Genomic DNA, 22,391 nt, shown 5'->3' on the forward strand with positions numbered 1-22,391 from the left:
ACATAATATATTATATATTAGCTCTCTGGGATATCACTTGTCTAGTTAAGGACCAAGAGATTGAGTTTCTCTAGCAAAGCAAAATGATTACGTTTCGGTAATGATTCTTAGAGATTTACATCGTCAAAGCAGTTCTTTCCAGAAGTTGCATACTTATTAGAGCATTCAACACTAAATTCTTCTCTTATGTACTGATGAAAGTATCCGAAGATGAGCTGTCTGAAACCAAAATATAAAATGCCAAGTGCCGTTAGGTCAAACACTCTGATCTGCCTCCCAGTTATTACTGTCATGAAGCTACCTTTTATTTTGTCAAATGAAATAAAAATGTGAGTTTGCCTATGCTTTACAACCAAAAAAGCATCATCAAAACCACAAGTTCTTAGGACTTAATAGAAGCAAAATGATCAAGATGACTGTTTGTACAAAGCATTGATCTGTTTCTCTGCTTTATACTTTGAAGGTAATGAGTAATTTAATTACCTCTCAGGTATATAGAGAAAAGTTTTTCTCCAAACATTTTCTAGGGTCTGAAGTATCTGAAATTGATCAGCCAGCAGCCGTGTGATCACACTGAAAGTATGCAAATTTTGGTTTTGCCTAAAGGTCAAAATAATAGAAAATCACACCAAGCTATTAAAATCTTACTTTATTTTTTTGTGTGTTTTTCTCATCTTGCCAGTTTTCAGAAACTCAAGGAAAATAATCTGTCAAGGATTCTTCACTATCTGATCAGCCTGAGGCAAATAACTTCATCTCCCTCTGCCTCAGTTTCCTCATATCCACAATCTCCACAATTCCATGAAAATCCTACTCATTCAACTAATATTCATGGAATTTCCCATTTCTAAGCACAGAGGGTCTTTCTTAATCCATTATTTTAGTTGAAATACTGAATTTAAAATTACAAATTTTGAAGACGGATCAGTTTTTCTTTTTTTTTTTAAGTACTGGTTATGTTATTTCTAAATATAATGTTACCTTAAGGGCACATGGTACAACTTCAAAGAAACCAGAAGCTCAGGCTACAGTCTCTGTCAGTTTTCATAAGAACATATCTCAACAATATAAAACTGAACAGAACTCAACAGTTCACTCTTAGAGCAGAATCTGTGTCAATCATTCTGCTCTAATGATCAGTACTTAAAGCCAAGATATTTTCCCCAAACACTAAAATATGGTTTTCCCATGTTCCAGTGGTTATTTGGTAATATTTCCACTTTACCCTGTATTACAACTTCTAATATTTCTATAAATAAAATAGACTTAATAGAATATTGCAGTGGAAATGAATAAAAAGAATTCATGGAAAGAGTCGGCAGAGTCCACTATTTTGGCCCTTAGTAAAGTCATGACATGTCCAGGTTTAACCTCTTATCTGGAATATGCAGAAAATCAAATATTTTTTTTACTTCATTTGGGATTGATCAGGTTCTGGGACACTGATCTCTATTATATGTTTCATAAAGAAATGATTTAACAATCAGATCATGTTTTATTAATATATAATTAAGGCATTTCAATCAACCAAAAGATTCCTAATCCCTGCAGGACAAAGAGGGCATGGAAGTTGCCTTTTATGACAGACTCTGTATTGCTCCTCCCTGTGGATATGGAATGATTTCTGCCCAGAAATGGCTATCTTAATTGGCATTGCACTGAGTAAATATATTACAGTTACTGTTTTTTCTAGCCTCCATGCATTTTTTGTGCTCCCATTCACAATTTTATTAACTTATTGTAAATATTTCCAAGGTGAATGGTTATCTAATATAAGTGTATGATTAGTTTAATTACTTTATGAAATTAAAGTATGCTATGATTTATCATCCATTTATTTACAAAACATCTCAGGGTGAGTTATTTCTAAATTGCTTTGCTTCGTCTGTTTCCTTATTTTCTAGGTAGAAAAATAATTTATTTTTTTTCTTATTACATCTTCAAATTGTTTTCGGTATTTATAATTCCTTTTTGCTCTTAAGATTCTGATTAAATTCTAACTGCAACACAAACAATAAATATAAGCTTATGCTTTATCCATAGGGAAAAAAATCCAGGGACATGTATACCCCCTTCTATCCAGAGAGAATTGTTATAGAAACCATTCTAACCAGACTTATTTGCTGACATATTTTTCTTATGGTTAAATTTTGGTCCTCTTATAATCTAAGCCTAGATAGACAGAGACATAGATATAGATAAAGATTTTGTCCTCATTGTCCTCCATGAAGGAAAATTACAGATAATGACTAATCAATATAATATCTACTTGTTTTCTTGAACATTGCCATCACCAAACTAGTACTTTAATAACTAACACCTATCTCAATATAATCCATTTCACTTTTGGTTGTTGTAATTCATTTTACTGCAATCGAATACCATGTTATTCTAACTTAGTCTTCAAAGTGTCAAGTACCACCCACAACAGGTTGTTCTTTCAATTTTTAAAAAATGTACTCTCTCTTTAAATAATAGTCATTCATAAAGTTATCAGATATTACTGATGCCCTAGTACCATCTCCAATATTGTTTGACCCCTTCTTCCTCCTCTGTTCACATATATCCAGCTTGGCATTATCAGCCCCCAACCCTGTTGTTTCCTGCTTTATTCATGTACATCCAAGAATCACTACATTTCATATCTAGAAATAAATTAGAAATTGCTTCCTCACCATTGAGTGGGCCCCAGAACTATTTACCTACTAGGTTGTAAGCTTCCTAAGGAAGGGCAGTTGTCATCTTACATTTGTAGCCCAAATGCCTAGCATAGTCCATGTGGCATAGTAGGTGTTTAACAGATATTTGCTAAGTAAATGGATGAGTGAATAATTGGATAAACAAAAGCATGAACTTAAACCCTGACCTCCTTGCCTAGTTCTTATAGTTCCTTTATTGCATATCCAGTGTGTCAGTTCCTAAACATTCAATTTCTGCCTACTGCCTTGTACTAAACCTGGGTTAACTTTTTTAGACTCTAGGACTCAAATAATAAAAAGGCTTAGGGATTTTTCTGCCCTTTTAATTGATTTCTCAGCTCATCTTAAATCCCTAGATATTTACATCCATCTGGTTCAGACTGCAAACATTTATTTGTTGATTCATTCAATTGGTGTATATTGATTTTTTAATGTAAGTTGTTGAATTTTGCATGCAACAGGGAGTAAACACGCAACAAGCAAAGCCCTTGCCTTCATGAAAATTGCAGTCTAGACAAATAGAGTAATTAGATAATTATTGCAAAAACACGCAAAGTTACAACTCTGAAAAATTCTACAGAAGAGGGTAAAATATACCGTGTTCTGAGAGCTCATAGTAAGGAAACTTGACCTTATCGAAGAATCTAGGCTTTCACCAGTAGTGTACATGTGAGCTGACACCAGAAGGACAAACTGGAAATAACCTAGATAATGTGCATGGGAAAGAGAATCCAGGCAAATTATTGAGAGGGCAGACAAGAGAATGAAAAGTCCCCTGTATGTGGAAGTTCAGGCAATGCAGAAAGGCATGTGTAAGAAAAGATCAAAGTAGACATAGCCAGATCATGCAGGGCCTTTTAGATTATGGTGAGATTTTGTTTAAGAGTAATGGAAGGCCACTGAAAGGTGTTGAACAAGAGAGGAAAATGATCAGATTTGATTTTTAAATTATCATCCAAGCTTCAGTGTTGTAAATAGGTGAAAGTAGCACTAAGGTGGATGTAGACAGATTAGTTTGTTGTCAAGATGAGTTTTCTGGCTTGTACAACTAGACGGATGTGGGTGTTATTCATTGAGATAGAAAACACACTGAGTGTGTGGGAAGGCTGTGAATTTGATTTTGGACATGAATATGTGTTTGGAAATAAATCCTAGGAGAGATGTCTTATAGAAAATTGAATATATTGGTTGAGAGCTCAGAGAAAATAATTTGTGTTTAGGTAGTAATTCAAGCTGTGGATGTGGAAGAAAGTATACAATAAAAAAATGGAGAGCCTAAGACTGAACCTTGGGGTGCGCCAACATTTCATGTCTATGTACACGAGAATAAGCCTGCAAGCTGATAGAGGAAAGACTAAAATAAGGCAAATATGTGAGAGAAGACCTGGAAAGACATGGTTTAAGAGTGAGAGAAGATGCTGTATCAAAAAAAAAACAGTCTCCTTTGAGATCACCTAAAAACTGAAAAATGTCTGTTAGATTTAGTAATATGGAAGTCTTTCGGGATCCCAGCAAGGGCTGTTTCAATGCAGTCATGGGACCAGTCAACACAATGGTGTGGGGTGAGGAGATAAGTAAAGACAACTCCAGCCTCTCTGAGACTTTTTGGTCATGATGTTGGTGACACCTTGGGAAAGTGAGGAGACTTAAATGCTGGGGAAACATTTGCGATTGCCTCATTTCTTTCACTTTATTCTAAACATGGTAGTGATGGAGTCCTAGAGGCTCCCCATTGGGACTACCTACTTTGTTAAATTACTAAATGTGATGAATATTTGTTGACAATAGTACCTAAAAATTTGTATTAATAGAATCATAAAGTCTTCTACAAGGCTCAAAGTCCAACATAATTGATGACATCGTGTCTGACTTCCAATATTCATGACTTCCCAGGTGAGTTTCCATATTTCTGAAAGTTTTCTCTGTAACACTTGGAAAATACAATTTAGAATTGGGATATATAAGAAAGATAATATCAGGGATGGAATGTTAGGTGTATCTGTCATTTGTGATATTTTACAAAGTGAAAATAGATTTATTCATATATTTTTACCCCATCTTCTTCCTTTCGTATTCTTTTTTTCTTCTTGTTCTCTTTAAGAAATGAATACCTAATGTTTATTCCGTACTGTACAAGGCACTAGATGATAAATAGAAAAAGGAAATTATGAGATAATGATAAATACACTGAAATTGCTGAAAAAGAAAGGCTATGTCAGAATGAATAAAGATAAGGTTAAAGAGAATAGCATTGAGAGGACAGGTATGATAGATACTTTTGAATGCAAGGCTGAGACGTGGTGGAGAATAAAGCAGCATTGAAAAAAATAACATTTAACAGAGATTTCCTAGCAGCTCTGTGAAGGTCTAAAAATAAAGAGAGTTTGGTTATTGTAATAATCTGGATATCAATTTTAGGAAGTGTATATAAATGAAAATCATTATGTAATGGAAGTAGTCTGAAGACTCAGTAATCAACAGGGGCATGCAAAGGTAAAGGCAGTGAATTTGGAAATAACAGGAACTTTTTAAAAAAGATGCTTTAAAAGGGAGATGTTTTAAATAAGTAAAATTATAATTATTGGCTTATTGGGCATCATGTGTTGGTAGGACATCTAAGTGTTCATATAATAAGCAGGAGAAAATGCTCACACACTTGGGGTTGCCCTGTAACTCACCTCAAATTATCACTGGGAATACCCACTTAGTAACTAGCATTTTCTAAGAGATGCTCTACATTGATAAATACAAGTGAAAATGTCCATTGATTGAAAATATGTTACACATCTATTAGATTTATTTACATAAGACTGGAAAGTTATATTTTACTTCTAATTATAAGTAAAGTTATTTTTAATATATTCACTTCTACTGGATGTTATTGAGTCTATTCTTAGATTACCTAAATAGAACATTTCAACTTTGTCACAGAAAATGTACACAATAATCTTGATTTTCCATTTAAAATTCTTATGAAGAAGGCTTATTTTTAAGAACTAAATTCTAAATTTTATTTCTCTGTTCTTCATAGATATGTTTTATTTAATTATTGAATTTATTTTGTTTTCTTTCAAAATAATTTTTAAGCATATTCATTTTGCATCAATCTACACTCATTGTAAAATCTAACATTGACTTATAGCTATTAGTTAATTTTAAACTAAGCAAAATACACTCTTTTTGTCTTATTAATTGTGTATTTGAGAAGATCCATAAACTTTGAAAAAATTCTATTTCTTCAAGAAACAATTTTTAAACTTCTATATAATGAAATATTAAATACTTTATTATAGTTAAGGAACTTTATATATTTTTTCTCTAGATCTCATAATGATTTAAAATCCATACATGCTTCAAAAATGCTTTAGTATGCTCATTTCTCCAATTGTTTAACTGAAAAATATCCTGTAATGAGGTCAGTGATTATTTTTTATAAAATGCAGAATTCCTCATTCATTCTTTACTCTGAATAAGTATTTAAGTAGCTTTTTCCAGTATGAGTTGTTTGTTTATGCTTTGCTTGATTGATAATCAGATTCTTTACAACTTTTATTTGATCTTGTAAAATATGTGATTTATTTAACACAATGGTGGGTACATGAAATGATTAAACTAATAGTAATTACAGTCTAACCATTAACCAGTGATATAGATGGTGAACAAATCAACCTTATGTATCACTAGTCACATACATGGGGATATTGGAAGGGTATCTTGCTATCCAAAATATTTATTGTGTCTCTAGGAGTCTCATAAAAATTTAAGTATCTTGGGAAAAATGGGTATGTTGTAAAGGGCATTGAATTGGGTTTGCCTTGAGAAAATCAGTTAATTTCTTTAAGTTTCAGTTTCTTCATTTGTGACATACAGATAATAATTTTTACCTATTTCACAATGTTATTCTGACTATAAATTAGATAATATAGGTAAATTTATCAAAATAAAAAGATGATATTAATGTTCAATTAATTATTCTTTTGATCACCTATCAAATTAATCACTAATCAAAATTCTGAGGATATACATATATATATATAAAAGTAAATTTTCAAAGGGGCATTGGGAAATGATTGTGGATCTTTTACATTGGAGAAATGGGTATTGCAGTGAAGATACCCTGGAAACTATTTCTGTGAGTGGGAAAAAGATGGCTTGTGGTGCTGATAATGAAGAGTGAGGTGCATAACTGGGACTAGAAACACAATGGAAAAATTCTATTTCCTGGTTTGTCCTGGAATCTATTCTGATAACAGTCTATGGCCTCTGCACAGATGTTTTCATATGGATTAGCCACCAAGCAGTTTAATGCATTAAGCCTACTATAACAGCAACAAATTATAATTTGTTTGTATTGATGCACATGTTAGATAGATAGATGATAGATATGTGAGTATAGATAGATAGAGCGATAGATGATAGATAGGTAGATAGGTAGATCGATAGAGAGACAGATGTTTCCACTTAAATGCCCTCATTTACATAAGTTTAAATAGACATATGAATTACAGCTCAGGCTGATTTGACTTCATTTATGGTTCCTATACCTTTTGATGTTTGCCTAAAGATATATTCAGCTTAAGTGCTATATTAGGAATATTTATTTTTCTTCTTATAAAATCTCTGAATTCAAGAATATTATTTTGTTTTCTATGTATTTTTATGTATTAATTCATGTAATTAAATATGTACACTTGTGAGATATGTACACAGAATACAGAGTTTGTACATATGCAGACAATTATAATACAAAAGTGAAGATTACAAATGCCACATTAGTCATACAGAATGTTTGGGGATTCCAAAGAGGGTGTGATGACTTCTCACAGGTGGTGAAAGTGGGCATCTTAGAGGAAGTGTCTTCTGAGCTGTGCCTTGAAAGATAACTAGTAATCTCTTTAAAAAGATAGACTGGAACTCAACTATGAGCTATTGAACGTTTTAAAATAGAAAGGTGATGTCATCAGAGAGATGCTTTAGGAAGATTGAAGTAGTGGCTTGAACCAGGTGGACTGGAAGGCAGGGAATGACTCTGCAGGTAAAAATGCAGTCAGATCACTATTTTAATAATAGATCAAAGGTTCCCAAGCACTGAACCCCCTGCTACAGAAGCATCTGCAGAGACTTTTGAACTGCAAATTTCCAGGCCCCTCCTCAGGGCCTAATTCAGTGGGTCTAAGATATAGCCCCAGAAGTAATATTAAAAACCTGCAGAGTGATTTTGATGCATAGCCAAGGTTAAGAACCACAGGCTGCAATGAAAAAGCTCTGGCCTCGCTGATAGACTCGAAGGAGGGTGAGAAGACAAGACAATGGGGTCAAAAAAGAAAAAAAATGTAGAAATGACACAGAAGATATTTTCTTTCCTGTTGTCCAAATTTCAAAATGATAATTTCCACTATTTGAATTTAATAAAATACACTTGCCAAAAAGTTTGTCTTATATATGTATTTGTCTGTATTTTATCTATAGATGTATTGAATGGTTCTTTTCCTGCCATTTTTCTCTTATTTAAAAAACAACAAAATTTGTCTGAATAAGCTTACAATATTTCTTTTTTTTCTATTTATTCTGGCTAGAATTTTGAAAATGTTTTAAAATTTTATGTCCTTTTACAATTACATTGATATTTAAAATGACTCTGCTTCTTACCATGGATATTTTTAAGAAGAAAAATATCAGTTGATGAGAAAGAAAACCACTATGCTTGAGACCATTTTCAGGGCTTTGTTATCTACTTTTCATCCCAAATTCTATATATTTTTATTAAGATTCCCTAATGCATAAGGATAGAAATTGTATTTGTAAATGCTAACTTAAAATACCAGTATTTAATTATGTTGTGTTGATAGGGATGATTTATTCTAGACTTTAATCGGATGTTTTTGTACCTAAATGAAATTTAGTCTTATTTTAATTAAATGGTAGAACATGCCAAAAATGATGGGTAAAACTAGAAGAAATGAACCCCAACGGAAGACTCCGGTTTCAGTTATCAGTTTTGTAGCTGTAAAGTAGTTAAGCTCTGTGGTTGAACCTGCCAGACAGGCATTAACATTATGGTATAGGATTCATCTGCTGAGATAAGATTTTCTCTTATTTAACTTTATTGAAATGTCTGAATAAATCACTAAGCCAAACGTATGGTTTCTTGTTTAAAATATATTAAAATCATGGCATAAAACAAAATTCTCATGTGAAGTAAATAATAAAAATAATTGTGAATGTATCATTCAAAACATTTTTTCAATAAAAAATGTTTGAGGAGAGCTCAGATTTGGTTACTGAAACCAATATTCCTTTGATAACTTATTTCTCTTTTTTGTTTCAAAGTTCAGACTAGTTAAATTGACTTATTTCTCTCTTATCCTACTTTTTTGTAGTCTTGCAACTAAATAAATTTAGTTATTACTTATTGATCTGTTCGCTTGAACCATCTGACATTTTTTCCTATTGTGTACATATAAAATAAGCAAAGTATCCTTTATTTATAAAGGACTTGGTTAATTGTACCCAATGAAACTATCAAAACCTTTTTTAATTACTTCTAAAACTCTATTCTCTGTTCAAGTCTCCGTGTTTAATATTTAATATTGAAACCATAGTGTTTACTGTTTTGCTACCTAATTTCTTTTTAAAGACTTTATTTTTTAGAGCACTTTTAGTTTCACAGACAAAATTGAGAGGCAGGTACAGAGATTTCCTATGTACCCCCATTCTCACAGATTCATTTCTTTTTTAAAAATATAAACTTGAAAACTTTTCTTTTTACAATCTTAATATAAATTCTCAAAGCATTTACAATTGTCCCTGTCCTTTATTAGAAAATTCTCGCCCAGGCTGGAGTGCAGTGGCATGATGATGACTCATTGAAGCCCTGACCTCAAAAGCAATCCTACCACTTCAGCCACCCAAGTACCTGGGACCACAGGCATGCACCACCATGCAGAGCTATTTTTTTTATATTTTGTAGGAAATAAAAGAAAGAAAGTTCTTTCCTATATTGAGTTGAAATGTTTTCTTATATTTCCACCAATAGCTCAATCCCTTGTGGCTACACAGAACAAATCTTACCCTACACGGCAGCCTTTCAAGAATTTGAAGACAGTTGTATTTATCCTCCTACATCGTCTCTGCTCTTGGCAGTTTTTCATGAGTCATGGCTTTGAATTCTTTATCATCCTGTCTTCTGAATGTATCCCAATTAGTTTCCATACCCAAAGTTGACTGTAGGACCCAGTTTTAGTCTGAACATCACAGCAAAAGGAACAATGAGAGCACTTGGACACAAGAAGGGGAACATCACACACTGGGGCCTGTGGTGGGGTGAGGGGAGTGGAGAGGGATAGCATTAGGAGGTGTACCTAATGTAAATGACGAGTTAATGGGTGCAGCACACCAACATGGCACAAGTATACATATGTAACAAACCTGCACGTTGTGCACATGTACCCTAGAACTTAAAGTATAATAAAAAAATTTCAAAAAAAAAAAAAGGAAAACCAATTTTGTTCTTGAGAATAAATTTCCGTTAACACCCCTTGCTGCCCACCCACACATCCCCACAAACCTGCCTAATGAGATTAGCTTTGAAGATGGTTGTTTTGTAATCTTGACTCATATTGAATTTAAGGTTGACGAGAATTGGGCCTTGGACAGAACTAAAGCCTACGTTGTTGGATAGCCTAAAACACAAAATTTGTTAACTCTTAAGAATTAATGTTTTATATGGAACAAAGTCTTTCAGGAATTCTAAAAGTCATACATCAATAAAGAGATTTTTATGTCTTTGGTAAGGCTTTTAAGTACTGTCATATTAAATCCTCCCTAAAATAATTTAGCTCAGAAATGTACAAGCAATATTAACACAGGTTTTTTTGCTTAAATAGTTCATTAGCCTCTGTAACTTCTTGAATATAAAAAATAATGCCAGGATTTTTTTAAGGTGTCTTTAAATCTGCTAGCAAGTTAAAGAAAAGGTTAAACTTTTTCAGACGCTATGCTTTAATGAAAACAACAGAAGACACATGTTTTATTGTAAATAAGTAGATAACTTTTCTATTAAGATTTGGAGCAAGGCTATGCACCATACATGCTCTGAGTGGGCTTGATTCCTCCAGGGAAGAGGCCAGGAAAGCATTGATGTGAAAACAGCCTTTCCCTTGCCATTCTCTCCATTCCAGGCAGGTTATCTGCCAAGAAGCTCATCCCTATCTGTAAAACTGCCAGCATCAGTTCATGCAGCATTCATGTGTAATTTGCTTTTTCTGGAGAGCCATACCAGGGCAGAGTTGACTGATTGAGGGAATTAAAAGCTACAGACTCTGGGACAGGAGGGCTGCCCTGTGGGTATATGAGCTGGTTACATTTTGGCCCCTTTTCAAACCAGGGATATGCAACTCTTGATATGTATGGGAAAGGCAGAACTGCCAATACTGACAGCGCTCCTGAGCAGCGCAAATGCTCCACATGGCAAATGCATCATTCACAGAGGACTCATCAGAGCAGCACCCAGAAAAAAACCAAACAGAGCAATACACAGAGAGACCAACTGGGGCCAGATTTTGTATATAAAACATTCCTCGTAGAGTGACTTATAATGGGTAGAAAAAGGATACGTCCTGAATGGCAAACTATTATAGTACTGATTATAGTACATCCATACAAAGAAATATCATGCATTTATGTATGATGATGGTAAAGAAAAACCTTTAAGATCTTCAGGAGAAATGTTTATGACATACTAAATTAAATATTAAATTTCAGTGCAGTATGTATATTGTTACCTCATTTTTAAATTCTTAACTAATTTATTTGGAAAGAAAAATGGTAATTAAGATCAAGATGTGGAGACAGGACAAATGAAAGATTATAACGAAAATTTTAAAAGAGGCCAGGAAAGCATTGATGTGAAAACAACCTTTGAGATGACAGAGTTATTGATGACTTTTCATGATTATTAATTCCTGTCTTTGTGCTCCTATGTGTTATGCAAATATTCCACAGACAATAAAGTTACTCCTTTTGTAATGAAAGTCTGTGTAATTAAATTTTTTTTAAAAAAAGTTGTGACAGGTATAAAAGTTTCTGGTTTATGAACAATAAAAACTACCTCTGGGGACCTTGAGCAAAATAATGATGGGTTAGAAGGCTATTAAAGAACTCCTAGAATCTGCTGGGTGGCTAGATCCAAGCTTCTGAAGGATGTCAAGGGAAGCTCCATACCAGGTGAGACCAGGGAGCTGAACACAAAGCTGGATCAGGCAGACCAAGAGAATAGTCTGGCTACAACTCTTCCACTTGACAATCGATCTGTGCCACAGCCTTTGACCCCTGGGCTGTCCTGCCATGAATAATCGTTAGTTCCCCTTACATTTTTGCTTTGCTTTGCCAAGAAACAAAAACTTAAGGTGGTGTAGTATATATGCAGTATATATTACCACCCCATTTCCCATGGCATATGCCGATGTCTGAGCTTCCAGGGACTTGCATGTATATTTACTGCTTCCTTTGGCTTCTAGTGAAGGCATTTCTCATATTTTGAGATTTCTGTAACTCCCTGCCTCCAATAGAAAGGTGTTGGATGCTAAGTAGTGGCAAATGTCCTGCACATGAAATGTTGGAATAGAAGATAAAGTATTGTGTTAGTACGTCTCTGGATATTTTTAAAATCCTTAAAATAAATTTTTACCTGTCCAAGAAAGTCTAATTGTGTGTGCCACAATTCCTAAGACTCTAGAACATTTCCATAATTTGTATTATATATGTCAAGCATAATACAAATACATTGTCCTAGTGATCAATGTGTGATCTGATTTATGTATGCATTGCCAGCCTCAGACACCATATATTAGTAGCAATATATTGTAGAGTATCATTGGGCTATTTTTTTTTCAAAGAGCTATGGAATTTAGTCTTTTTGAAATACTAAGGCAGAAAAATGTGAAGCTAACTACCGAAATTTAAATAAAATAAATTTTCAGTTATGAGTGATATATAGTAATGTGTCTTTATTAATGGACTTGAATGAAATGTGCAAACTAAATTAAAATCTTGGAAATCTATAATTAGGTTAATAATGTAGTGATGACTTCTTACCAGAGAAATAATAACATTTGATAGGATATGCTTTTTTCTTTCATAAGATGTTTTACAAGATAAGAAATAAAGTTATAGATATAATACCTGTGACTGGGTTGTCTTATGAGCTAATAGATCGCATTCAACAAATGAAAATGAAAAGACAAAATATGCATCATAGACAAACAGATGATGCCATCATCTATGAATGCACAGTATGGGTTATTGGAATGGCTTTAACACATTGAAGTTGGTCTAGTAAAAATTCAAGAAGCAATTTAGTTTTTAATTCACATGTTTTAATTTCTTCTTTTACCCACTTAGGTGCATGCATTTTTATAAACTTTTATAACCAAGTTCTCTAAATAAGCATTTTTTATTAAAATGCTTACATAACCACATTGAGAATAGAAATAGCTCTTTAAATATTGCTATTACCTTGGGGTATATAAAGTAAGTCTCAACCGGCAATTCAAAACCTTCTATGATCTATTCAGTTGAAATTAATCCCCTTTCTTTCCCTTCATGTTTCCACTAAACTTTGCTTTAACCTTTATTATCTGATTCAAGTTTGTATTATATGATGCTGCTAATAATGATGATAATGATGAACTTTTAGTGATTTGCAAATCAAAGATTAGACAGATTAGCAGGTTTGTTCAAGGCCATGCAGCTGACAAATAAGGTATTAATACTAAGATCCAGTCCTCAGCAGTCAGACTTGAGTCCATAGTTTTCATTTCTACACGATTGATAGATTATCTATTTTCTTCTCTGCATCATCAGTTTTTTGAAGGTGAGGCATTGATTTTTATTTAGTATTACAACTTTGAAGATACTTAGGACCACCATGACCACCAAATAACTAAAATTAAAAGAAAATACACCAAAAATTTTAGTACAGTTGTATAGTGTGATTATAAGTTCTCTATCTCATGTTTTTACCACTTTAATTTTTTTAATATTCTATAATGAACAGAAGTTAGCATAGGGGAATACTTTAGAGTAGAAATTTTGGTCAAATACAACGGATTTTAAATTACTTCTTCCTCACTTTACGACTATAACAGGTTATCTATTGCTTCATCTAATCCATGAATTGGGAGCTGTTGGTGAAACCGATACTCAAGTTTGTTGTAACAACTATATATACACTTAGAGTCTCTGGCAGAAAGCAGTCAGTAGATGCTAGTTATTATTTTTAAATCAAACAAAATATTTAAGGAGAGACTTTAATATTCTTAAACATAACCCTTCAAATCCTTAAACCAGATTTTTTTTCTGTACAAGAAAGTCTGGTTGTATATGCTACAATTCCTAAAACTGGAACATTTCAATAATGTTATTACACAGCTCAGGTCTTGATTCTAATGCTCAGGGTGGATAGAACAGGCAAAAAGTGCTAGGTAATGAAGACATGCCCCACCAGGCTTCTTCCCATTGGTATGCTGCCTTGACACAGTCATATTTAACAGTGAACTCTGTTTGGAAGCAATTTATATGCATATATAGATATGTTCACATGGCGCTGCTGAGATAATTACAATGTTATTTACTAGTTTTGTCTGGTATTTCTGCTATGTCTTTAATGACAAAATGCTGCAGAGACACGGGTGAGAGAGACAAAAGATGATGAGGATGAGGTGATTTTGTAAATAAGCAAAAAGAGGAATATTTTTGCATACTTTTGTGCTGGATGAAACCAGTAGAAGAGCAAATTTAGGTCTAAGAGAAGGTAATAAATTATATGCTTAAATCAAATACCTTTAAAGAATAAAAAAAAAAACTTTTGATCATCACAGGAAAAATTTCAAAATATTTTATCTTGCATCAAAAAGTTACATCTAAATATTACTTCATAAAAATTATCCTAGGGTTTACTTGACTTTTCTCCATGCAATTCCAAATAAAATAAGGTTTTATGAACTCTGAGATTCTTTGAACAGTTTGAAGAACTTGAACTGGAATATCTCTTACACTAAGCACAGGAGACTGTTCTCCATATTTAACACTATTTTCACAGTGTATACTACCATATCCAGTACATACTATGTGCTCAATAAATATACAATGAATGTGTAACTAATAGAGTCAAGAGGCATAAAGGACTTGGAGTTGCAAGACCTCGCTTCAACCCTAGGCTTTGCCAGTTGTTGATTATTCAACTTTGGGCTAATAATTTATCATATAAAATGTTGTTTATTATATTAAATTTTAAATATATAATTTCTTAAGAAAACATATTATAAAGTAAATTTATTTATTTGGAAAATTAAAAAAATTCTCAGACTGTATTAAGGAAATATATGTAAATGATCCTTGCAAATTATAAATGCTAATTGTTTTAAAGTCACTTCCAGGGCAGAATGGCAATGCTCTTAATATTATGAAATCATAGAGCCTCTGTTGAAAGAGACCTTAAAAGGCATCAAGTTCAACCACATCTCTGGTTTTTAATTATCTTTCTACATAGGGACCAGATGGACACATGCTGTATATTTAACTTTATCTTTAAGGAAATTGTTAACTGTATCCCTGGTATGCCTCAGAATGTTCTCTTTGAATTATAAAGGAGTGTTCTTTTCAGTACTTTATTTCATTCATTTAGTTCTCACACAACCCCATGAAGTACTATTACTGTTCCCATTAAACAGATGAGAAACCTAAATAAAAAATGTGGTTACTTGCCCAGCAACTCAAAACTAGTAAGTTGTATAGTCAGGACGAGAACCCAGGTAATCTCCAGAGCCCATTCCCATAACCAGTACAGAGTACCCTTTCCATGTGAAGTGGAATGTGAAAATCTCCTCTGCTTCTTGCACACGATTGTGGTTGAATGTAAGGAGCACCCCTTTTAATTGCATTACAGTATATCATCCAAACCAGCAGAGTCCAATTTCTATACAAATTTCAGATGTGAAAGAAATATTCTATATTTATGCTGTCCAATATGGTGGTTAGTAGCCACATTTGCCTTTTGAGCACTTGGTATGTGGCTAGTGTGACTGAGGATCCAACTTTATTATTTTGATAATTTTAATTTAAATAAGCACACATGGCTGTTGCACATGCCAGCACTTATTGGGCAATGCAGTTTAAGTTCTATATCAAAGCTCTTCAGTGTTTTCTTTATTGGCATGTGTTACAGCTCCTATTTATATGTGAGACACTCTCCCATAGCTGTAGGCTGACAAGACAGAGAAAGTAGTGACTAAAAGTTTAGATGCTGAAGAGACAAGTTTACATCTTGGCTGTGGAGCTTAGTATGTTACTCTGAGTTTAGAGCTGACTTACCCTTAAATTGGGATGATTATTGAACTACATTATAGAACTATTTAAAAAAAATTTATTTTGACATAATTTCAGATTTCAGACGTTCAGAATAGAGACAAGAATTGTACAAAGAATAACTGCATGAACTTCACTGAGAATCTCCAAAGGTTTCTGAACTCTCTCTCCACCCCCCCTTTCTTTCTCTCTCTCTCTCTCTCTGTGTGTGTGTATATGTGTGTGTGTACACTTTATTGTTTTCATGAACAATGTGAGAGAGTAAGTTGCTGGCTTACTCCTTTTCTTTTAGGTGCATATTTTCTAAAAATAAAGGCATGATCTCTCATCAGGAAATTAACATTCACTAGTCTTAATACTATTATCTAATCTACAGACTTAATTCAGATTTCATAGGTTTCCCAATAATGTCTTTTATAGCTAAAGAAAATATCATCTTATGCCTTGCATTCCATTTTCATGTCTTTAAACTTCTTTATTCTGAAACAATTCCTCAATCTTAATTTGCGTTTCATGACATAGACATTTTCTAAATAATATAAGCCAGTTATTTTGTAAATAGTCTCTCAATTTAAGTTTGTCAAATGTTTCCTCATGATGAAATTTATTCTATGCACTTTTGGTGGCAATACCACAGAAGTGATGATGTGTCTTTTGCAATGCATCATATCAGAAGGCCCATGGTATTCACTGCCCCATTATGGTGATGTTAACTTCAATCACTTTATTATCGGGTTAAGGTGCTGTCTATCAGAATGGTGTTTGCTAGTATAGGCAATGTCTGCCAATAATTTCAATGTAGTTATTACTTTTTCCCTCTGTAATGAAAAATATATTGGGGAAAGTTACATTGAGAATAACTAAATATCCTGTTGCTGCCTCGAATTTTTACACACTTCTTTTTGCACTTATTCATGATTCTTATGTGAATTCTTATGATGATTGCTAAATAGAGATTTTCTAGTTCCATATTTTCTTTACATTTATTAGTCGAGTTTCCACCTGAAAAACAGCTTTTTTCCACCTAATTATTTATTTATATCCTGGTAGACATATATTATTCAATGGGTTGTCATCCTTTATGTCATTACATATAATACATGTGAATATACATATATATGTATATATATTCTTTATATATATAAATATATATATTTGTATATATTTCTTTATATCTTTGATGCTCAAATTGTCCTGGATTTGAGTTAAGGGAGCTCCTTCAAGCTAGCTTCTACGTCCTTTTGATGTGTCTCCATAATTCTTTGAATACATCCCTAATTTCTGGCACAAGATGAGGTTTCATAATGATTTTCTACTTTCCCTCACTAGCCCTGGAATCAGTAATTTTCCTAAAATTCCTTTATTCCTTTGAGTGAAAAGTATTTAGAAGCCTAGATCATGGGCTAGGTCTTCTTCTTGTTGCTACTGGGTGTCATTGCTTCTAGGCCTTCTCAGCAGATAGCCTGGAAGTAGGACTTGAAATATTCATGAATGTATAATTATCTATATGAATAAATACATATAAAGGCATATATATTTATACATGTTTATGAGTATATGTGTCACTACATATCTATTTCTATTTTTATGCCTATCTATGTATCTAGCTATCCATCTTAAAACTCTTAAATTCAAACTGACGCCTCCAAAATCAACACCTTGGAGTTCATTCTATCTTCTCCCTTTTCCATATTTGTAATTCCCTTCTCTAATTTAGCAAAACTTAGTTACCATTGGCCACAATTTATTTTATTTCTTTGCTCACCTTAGAATATATAGAAACTAGTTTCCAAACTGTTAATCTAGGAATCTGAGCAAAAGCTACTCACTAGAATTGAATATTTGTTCAGAGTTGTCTTCAGACTCAGAGTACATAGTTCTAATAGTCAAGGTTCATATAGTTCAAAAGTTAACTGAGGTTCCCCCTAAGCTGTGTGGCCATGTTATTCATTTGAAATATGACTCTGTTCATGTTTTTGTTTTAGGTTTTTAGTTCTAGGAGTTTTTTCCTCCCATGCTTGTTAGTTTTCTATTCTTTTTAAAGTATGTATGTGAAACATTAAAAATTCCCAAAAGTCAGAACCATAAAATATTATACTCAAGAAGGTGTAAGTCCATCCTCCCTTTCTTCATAGAGCAGTTTTGAAGAGTAAATAATATTATAAATGTTTAGATTTTGCATTACCTGGCACATATTTAGGTCTCAAAAAATCTAATATAGCTATTCATCTAATAATCGCGCTTTTTCTATGTTCAATTACACACTCACTAAGTACTTCATACCTTTTTCTCAATGTATGAAACCAAATAAGAATGCACATATGTGAACAAAACTCTTCTAAAATTTTGGTATTTTAACTCTTACTAGCAAAATATTATTTGCAATCTTTCTCACAATTAATCACGAAACAAACTATTGTGTTTGATTTCCTAGCTAAGAAATAATGGCTTATTTCATTCCTTAAAAAGTAGAACATGAATGCTGCATGTGGCATAAGCACAGTGTTATTGCAGGAGTAATATAGAAAACATATCAGGGTCAGAACTCATTTAGTGGTGCCTTAAATGTGAAGAAAATAGCTGTAATTCTGCATAAATGTTATAATTGTTAGATTGCAGAGAAACAAAGAGTCCTGAGGCATGTCTGAAGAAATGAGCAGATTACATGCTTAACTAATTCTGGAAGATAAGGTTTCTAGATTAAGTCATGCTCTGCAAGGGAAACAAATAAAGCAAGCACTACATCATTAGAATCTATTTTATTTTAATGTATTTCTTTAAAGAGAAAGCTTTGATTCTGGAAATGTCTGACATTGCTGCATTTTTCTCATGAAGTCTTCTGTGCATACTTAACTAGTGATTCTAATACGTATATTTTACTAGTGATATTCAGTAAATATGTCAGAGAACAGATTTCTTCTCTTGGCTAAATGTTTGCAATAAAATTTCTGGATAAAATTTGAATTATTTTCCTATTTTGTGAATCATATATCCTTACTAAAGCATCTTTTTACTTCTTTTTTGATCATGTATAAAAGTTATTGAGTATCATAAGAAATTTTAAAACATTTTATTTTTATCACATAACAGGAATGGAATAAACCAAAAAAAAAGTATACTTAGAAAACTCTTAAATGACAATACAACTATGAATCTTAAACATTTTTGGGAAGCAAATAGAGATGACATATCAAGATCAAATTGTAAAATCCATGTAAGTATCACCAGCATGACAATCTTTCTAAGAGATGTTTACTTTTAGATATACTCCCTATATTCTTTATAGTATATAGAAACTTTCTTTGTCCATATCTTAATAGCAGGGTGAACTTAGAGGTAAGTTACAAGTTGCATACATTTAAATGTTAATTTTAATGCACCTTTGGTACACTTTATATTTTGAATTGAAGGGAAATTTTAATTCTGTAACATAAGTATCTTAATAGATACTTAATCATATATCCAGAGATATTAATAGATATCCAGTTTTACCCAGAATTTTCTTAAAGTAATACACAGATGCTTACTGATTGGTTAGTACCCTTCTTTCACATTTCTGAGGTCTCATCTTCCAAATGAGGTAGATTCAACAACGTTTCCAAGTTGTAGCTCCTCAGGACCCAAGTCCTCTCCATGCTGTGGCTAGGGCTTCCAAAGTCCCTCATTTCCCCACATCACCACTCCTCTTTAAGATCTCCTTCTTTCCTGATTTCTCATACAACTTTTTTATGCCCATCTCTGTCCTTGATGCTGGAGGGGGAAGTGAAACTGCCAAACATCATCACCAGGATGTGCATGAAATCCAACCACACATTGAACCCCAGATTTCCTTGGGCTCTTTTGAACACCCAATCTTTGGGTAAGATTATTTCTATGAAAATTTTGTTTCAACTTTCTAAACAATTGAACTGTAAATTTTACTGTAAGATTAGTGTGCGTCATTTAAAAAATTTTGTGTCTTCCGTGCGTTATGAGATATGTCCCATTCTGTAATCTCTGACCATGGAATCAAGCTTAAATTTCATGACCCTTTCTGAAATTACATAAGTGTCTTGAGTTTGTTTTTAACTGATATTCACCCGCCCCGCTTGTTGGTCTAAATGAAGAGGAAATTATCCTAATGACTTTATTTTCCTTCTTTAGATGAAATTGTTAGCATGGCAAGGAAAAAATATATTAGCTTTTCCATGTTTATTGCAATAAGATTTCCAGTAGATATCAGGATAATTTAAGGCTTCCGTTGCTACAGTTGCTTGCCTTTCTCTCTTCTGGTTTTGAAATTATCATTAGGAATAAAGAACTCATTGCTTTCTCCTAGCTAACCGTCTATAGCATAATACTAAATACCCTTTCAAAATGATGCTTCTATTTGCATTTATGTTACTTCATTCTACTAATTTTCCCTATGCTTTCACTCAAAAAGCTATGGATACCTCCACACTGTGTTTTTCGGTATTTCTCCCCGTGTTCTTCTGCTGGGATTTGAAAGTATACACTTGAACTTGAAATAAATAATAGTAATTCATGCAATGTAAGAAATATGCTGCTATTATAGGATAGGGAGAGAGATAACTTAGAAAGACATAATTTGTAACAATAAAAGTTTTGAGTATTTTTCCTTCTTGGCTGACTTCGTTAGTAACTATCATAGAAGCATTTGACACTTCATTTTAAAGTACAGTAGTCCCCCATTATTCTCCAGGGATATATTAGAAGACCCCCTAGTGATGCCTGGAACTGCAGATAGTACTGAACCCAATTGCTGTCAATCTTCCTGTTCATCTTCCACCTACAAATTTAATACTTATTCCACCTTAACTAAGCCCTTATCATACACTCTAGCCATAACTTTTATAGTGAAGTATGACAGCAAAGCTTGCATAATTTGTTTTCCTTCTTCCCGATTTCATGAATAGAAGACTCATTCTTACCATAGACATTAGCAACCTCAACCTCAGCATACTTTTTTTTTCTTTCCTTAAGTGGAGAACTTTCACTTTTTCCCTTAAAGGAAGCACTTCCCAGCTTCTGTTTGGCATATCCAAATTCTCACCAACATTACTATTGTGCTTTGGGGTTATTCTGAAGTCAATTAAGGGTTCCTTGAACACATGCACTGTGATATCACAGACAGTCAATCCATCACAGAGACGGATACTAAGTGACTCATGAGCAAATAGCGTGGACAGCTTGGATACACTGGACAAAGAAATAATTCACATCCTGGGCCTGTAGGAGCAGGATGGCATGAGATTTCATCAGCTACTCAGAATGATGTGCAACTGAAAACTTATGAGCTGTTTATTTCCAAAATTTTTTATTTAATATTTTCAAACTGCACGGTAACTAAAGCCATGAAAACCAAACCTTGAACAAGAGGGGAATGCTGTATATATGTCTGAATCATATTCCATTGGGAATAATTTACATAAGATATACAGCATAGCTATATCTGTATAAACAACACAGGTTTGAACTGTGCGAATCTTCTTACAGATGAAACTTAAGATTGTTAACTAAAAAAAAGATGGTAGAAAATTACATATAGTTTTATTTTATGTCTTAAATAATAATAATCAGGAAATTTGGATAAATATATAAAAAGTTATTAGCAGCCAGGCATGGTGACTCACTCCTGTAATCTCAACACTTTGGGAGGCTGAGACGGGCAGATCACCTGAGGGCAGGAGTTCAAGACCAGTCTAGCCAACGTGGTGAAACTCCGCCTCTACTAGAAATACAAAAATTAGCTGGACGTGGCAGCACATGCCTGTAGTCCCAGCTACTCATGAGGCTGAGGCAGGAGAATTGCTTGAACCCGGGAGGCAGAGGTTTCAATGAGTGGAGATTGCGCCAGTGTACTCCAGCTCATCAGCCTGGGTGACAGAGAGAGACTCCGTCCCAAAAAAAAAAAAAAAAAAAAAAAAAAAAAAAAAAAAAGGTTATTAGCAGCAATTAGTTTTATAAAGGTAGGAAGAATCTTTACTCAATAATTTTACTTTCTAACTTCACAATTTATGTAGTGTTTGAATGATTTACAGTTAGCAGTTATTACCTGTCTGAGTAGGAAAAGATAGAGATTTTCAAAAGACAAATTTTATTTTAAAAAGCCAAATGATGTAATGGAAAGTTGTGGAGTTTACAGTCAGAAAATGTAGCAGCCATCTAATCATATGACTTACTAGACTTAATTTATTCCTTCTGAGCCTCAGTATTCTTACCTGTAAAATATGATAATAATTACCAACCTAAAAGATTGTTCTGCAAGCAACATGTGAGAAATGTAAGCTGCAAATAGCAAGATACGTCTTCTGGTTTTGTATGTAT

At 33.2% G+C, this 22,391-nt stretch overlaps 1 protein-coding gene and 1 long non-coding RNA gene across 16 annotated transcripts in view; one reads left to right on the top strand and one right to left on the bottom strand.

The window, feature by feature from the left end:
* SYT1 (synaptotagmin 1) overlaps positions 1–22,391 on the top strand; it is a 588,027-nt gene that overhangs the window by 43,461 nt on the left and 522,175 nt on the right. For 4 of the 14 annotated variants that reach the window (XM_047429479.1, XM_047429484.1, XM_047429480.1 and 1 more), the window contains exon 1: positions 1–22,391. This exon is cut by the window's left edge and continues 13,076 nt beyond it; it is cut by the window's right edge. The exons of 8 other annotated variants lie outside the window; for them this stretch is intronic. The gene's annotated coding sequence lies outside the window, so the exon portion shown is untranslated. 2 more of the 14 variants (XM_047429481.1, XM_047429483.1) reach the window with 2 other exon arrangements.
* Positions 1–22,391, bottom strand: part of LOC105369863 (uncharacterized) — a 197,856-nt gene that overhangs the window by 2,419 nt on the left and 173,046 nt on the right. The window lies entirely within an intron of this gene.

This window comes from Homo sapiens, chromosome 12 (genome assembly GCF_000001405.40).
Source record: "Homo sapiens chromosome 12, GRCh38.p14 Primary Assembly".
Classification (NCBI taxonomy): domain Eukaryota; kingdom Metazoa; phylum Chordata; class Mammalia; order Primates; family Hominidae; genus Homo; species Homo sapiens.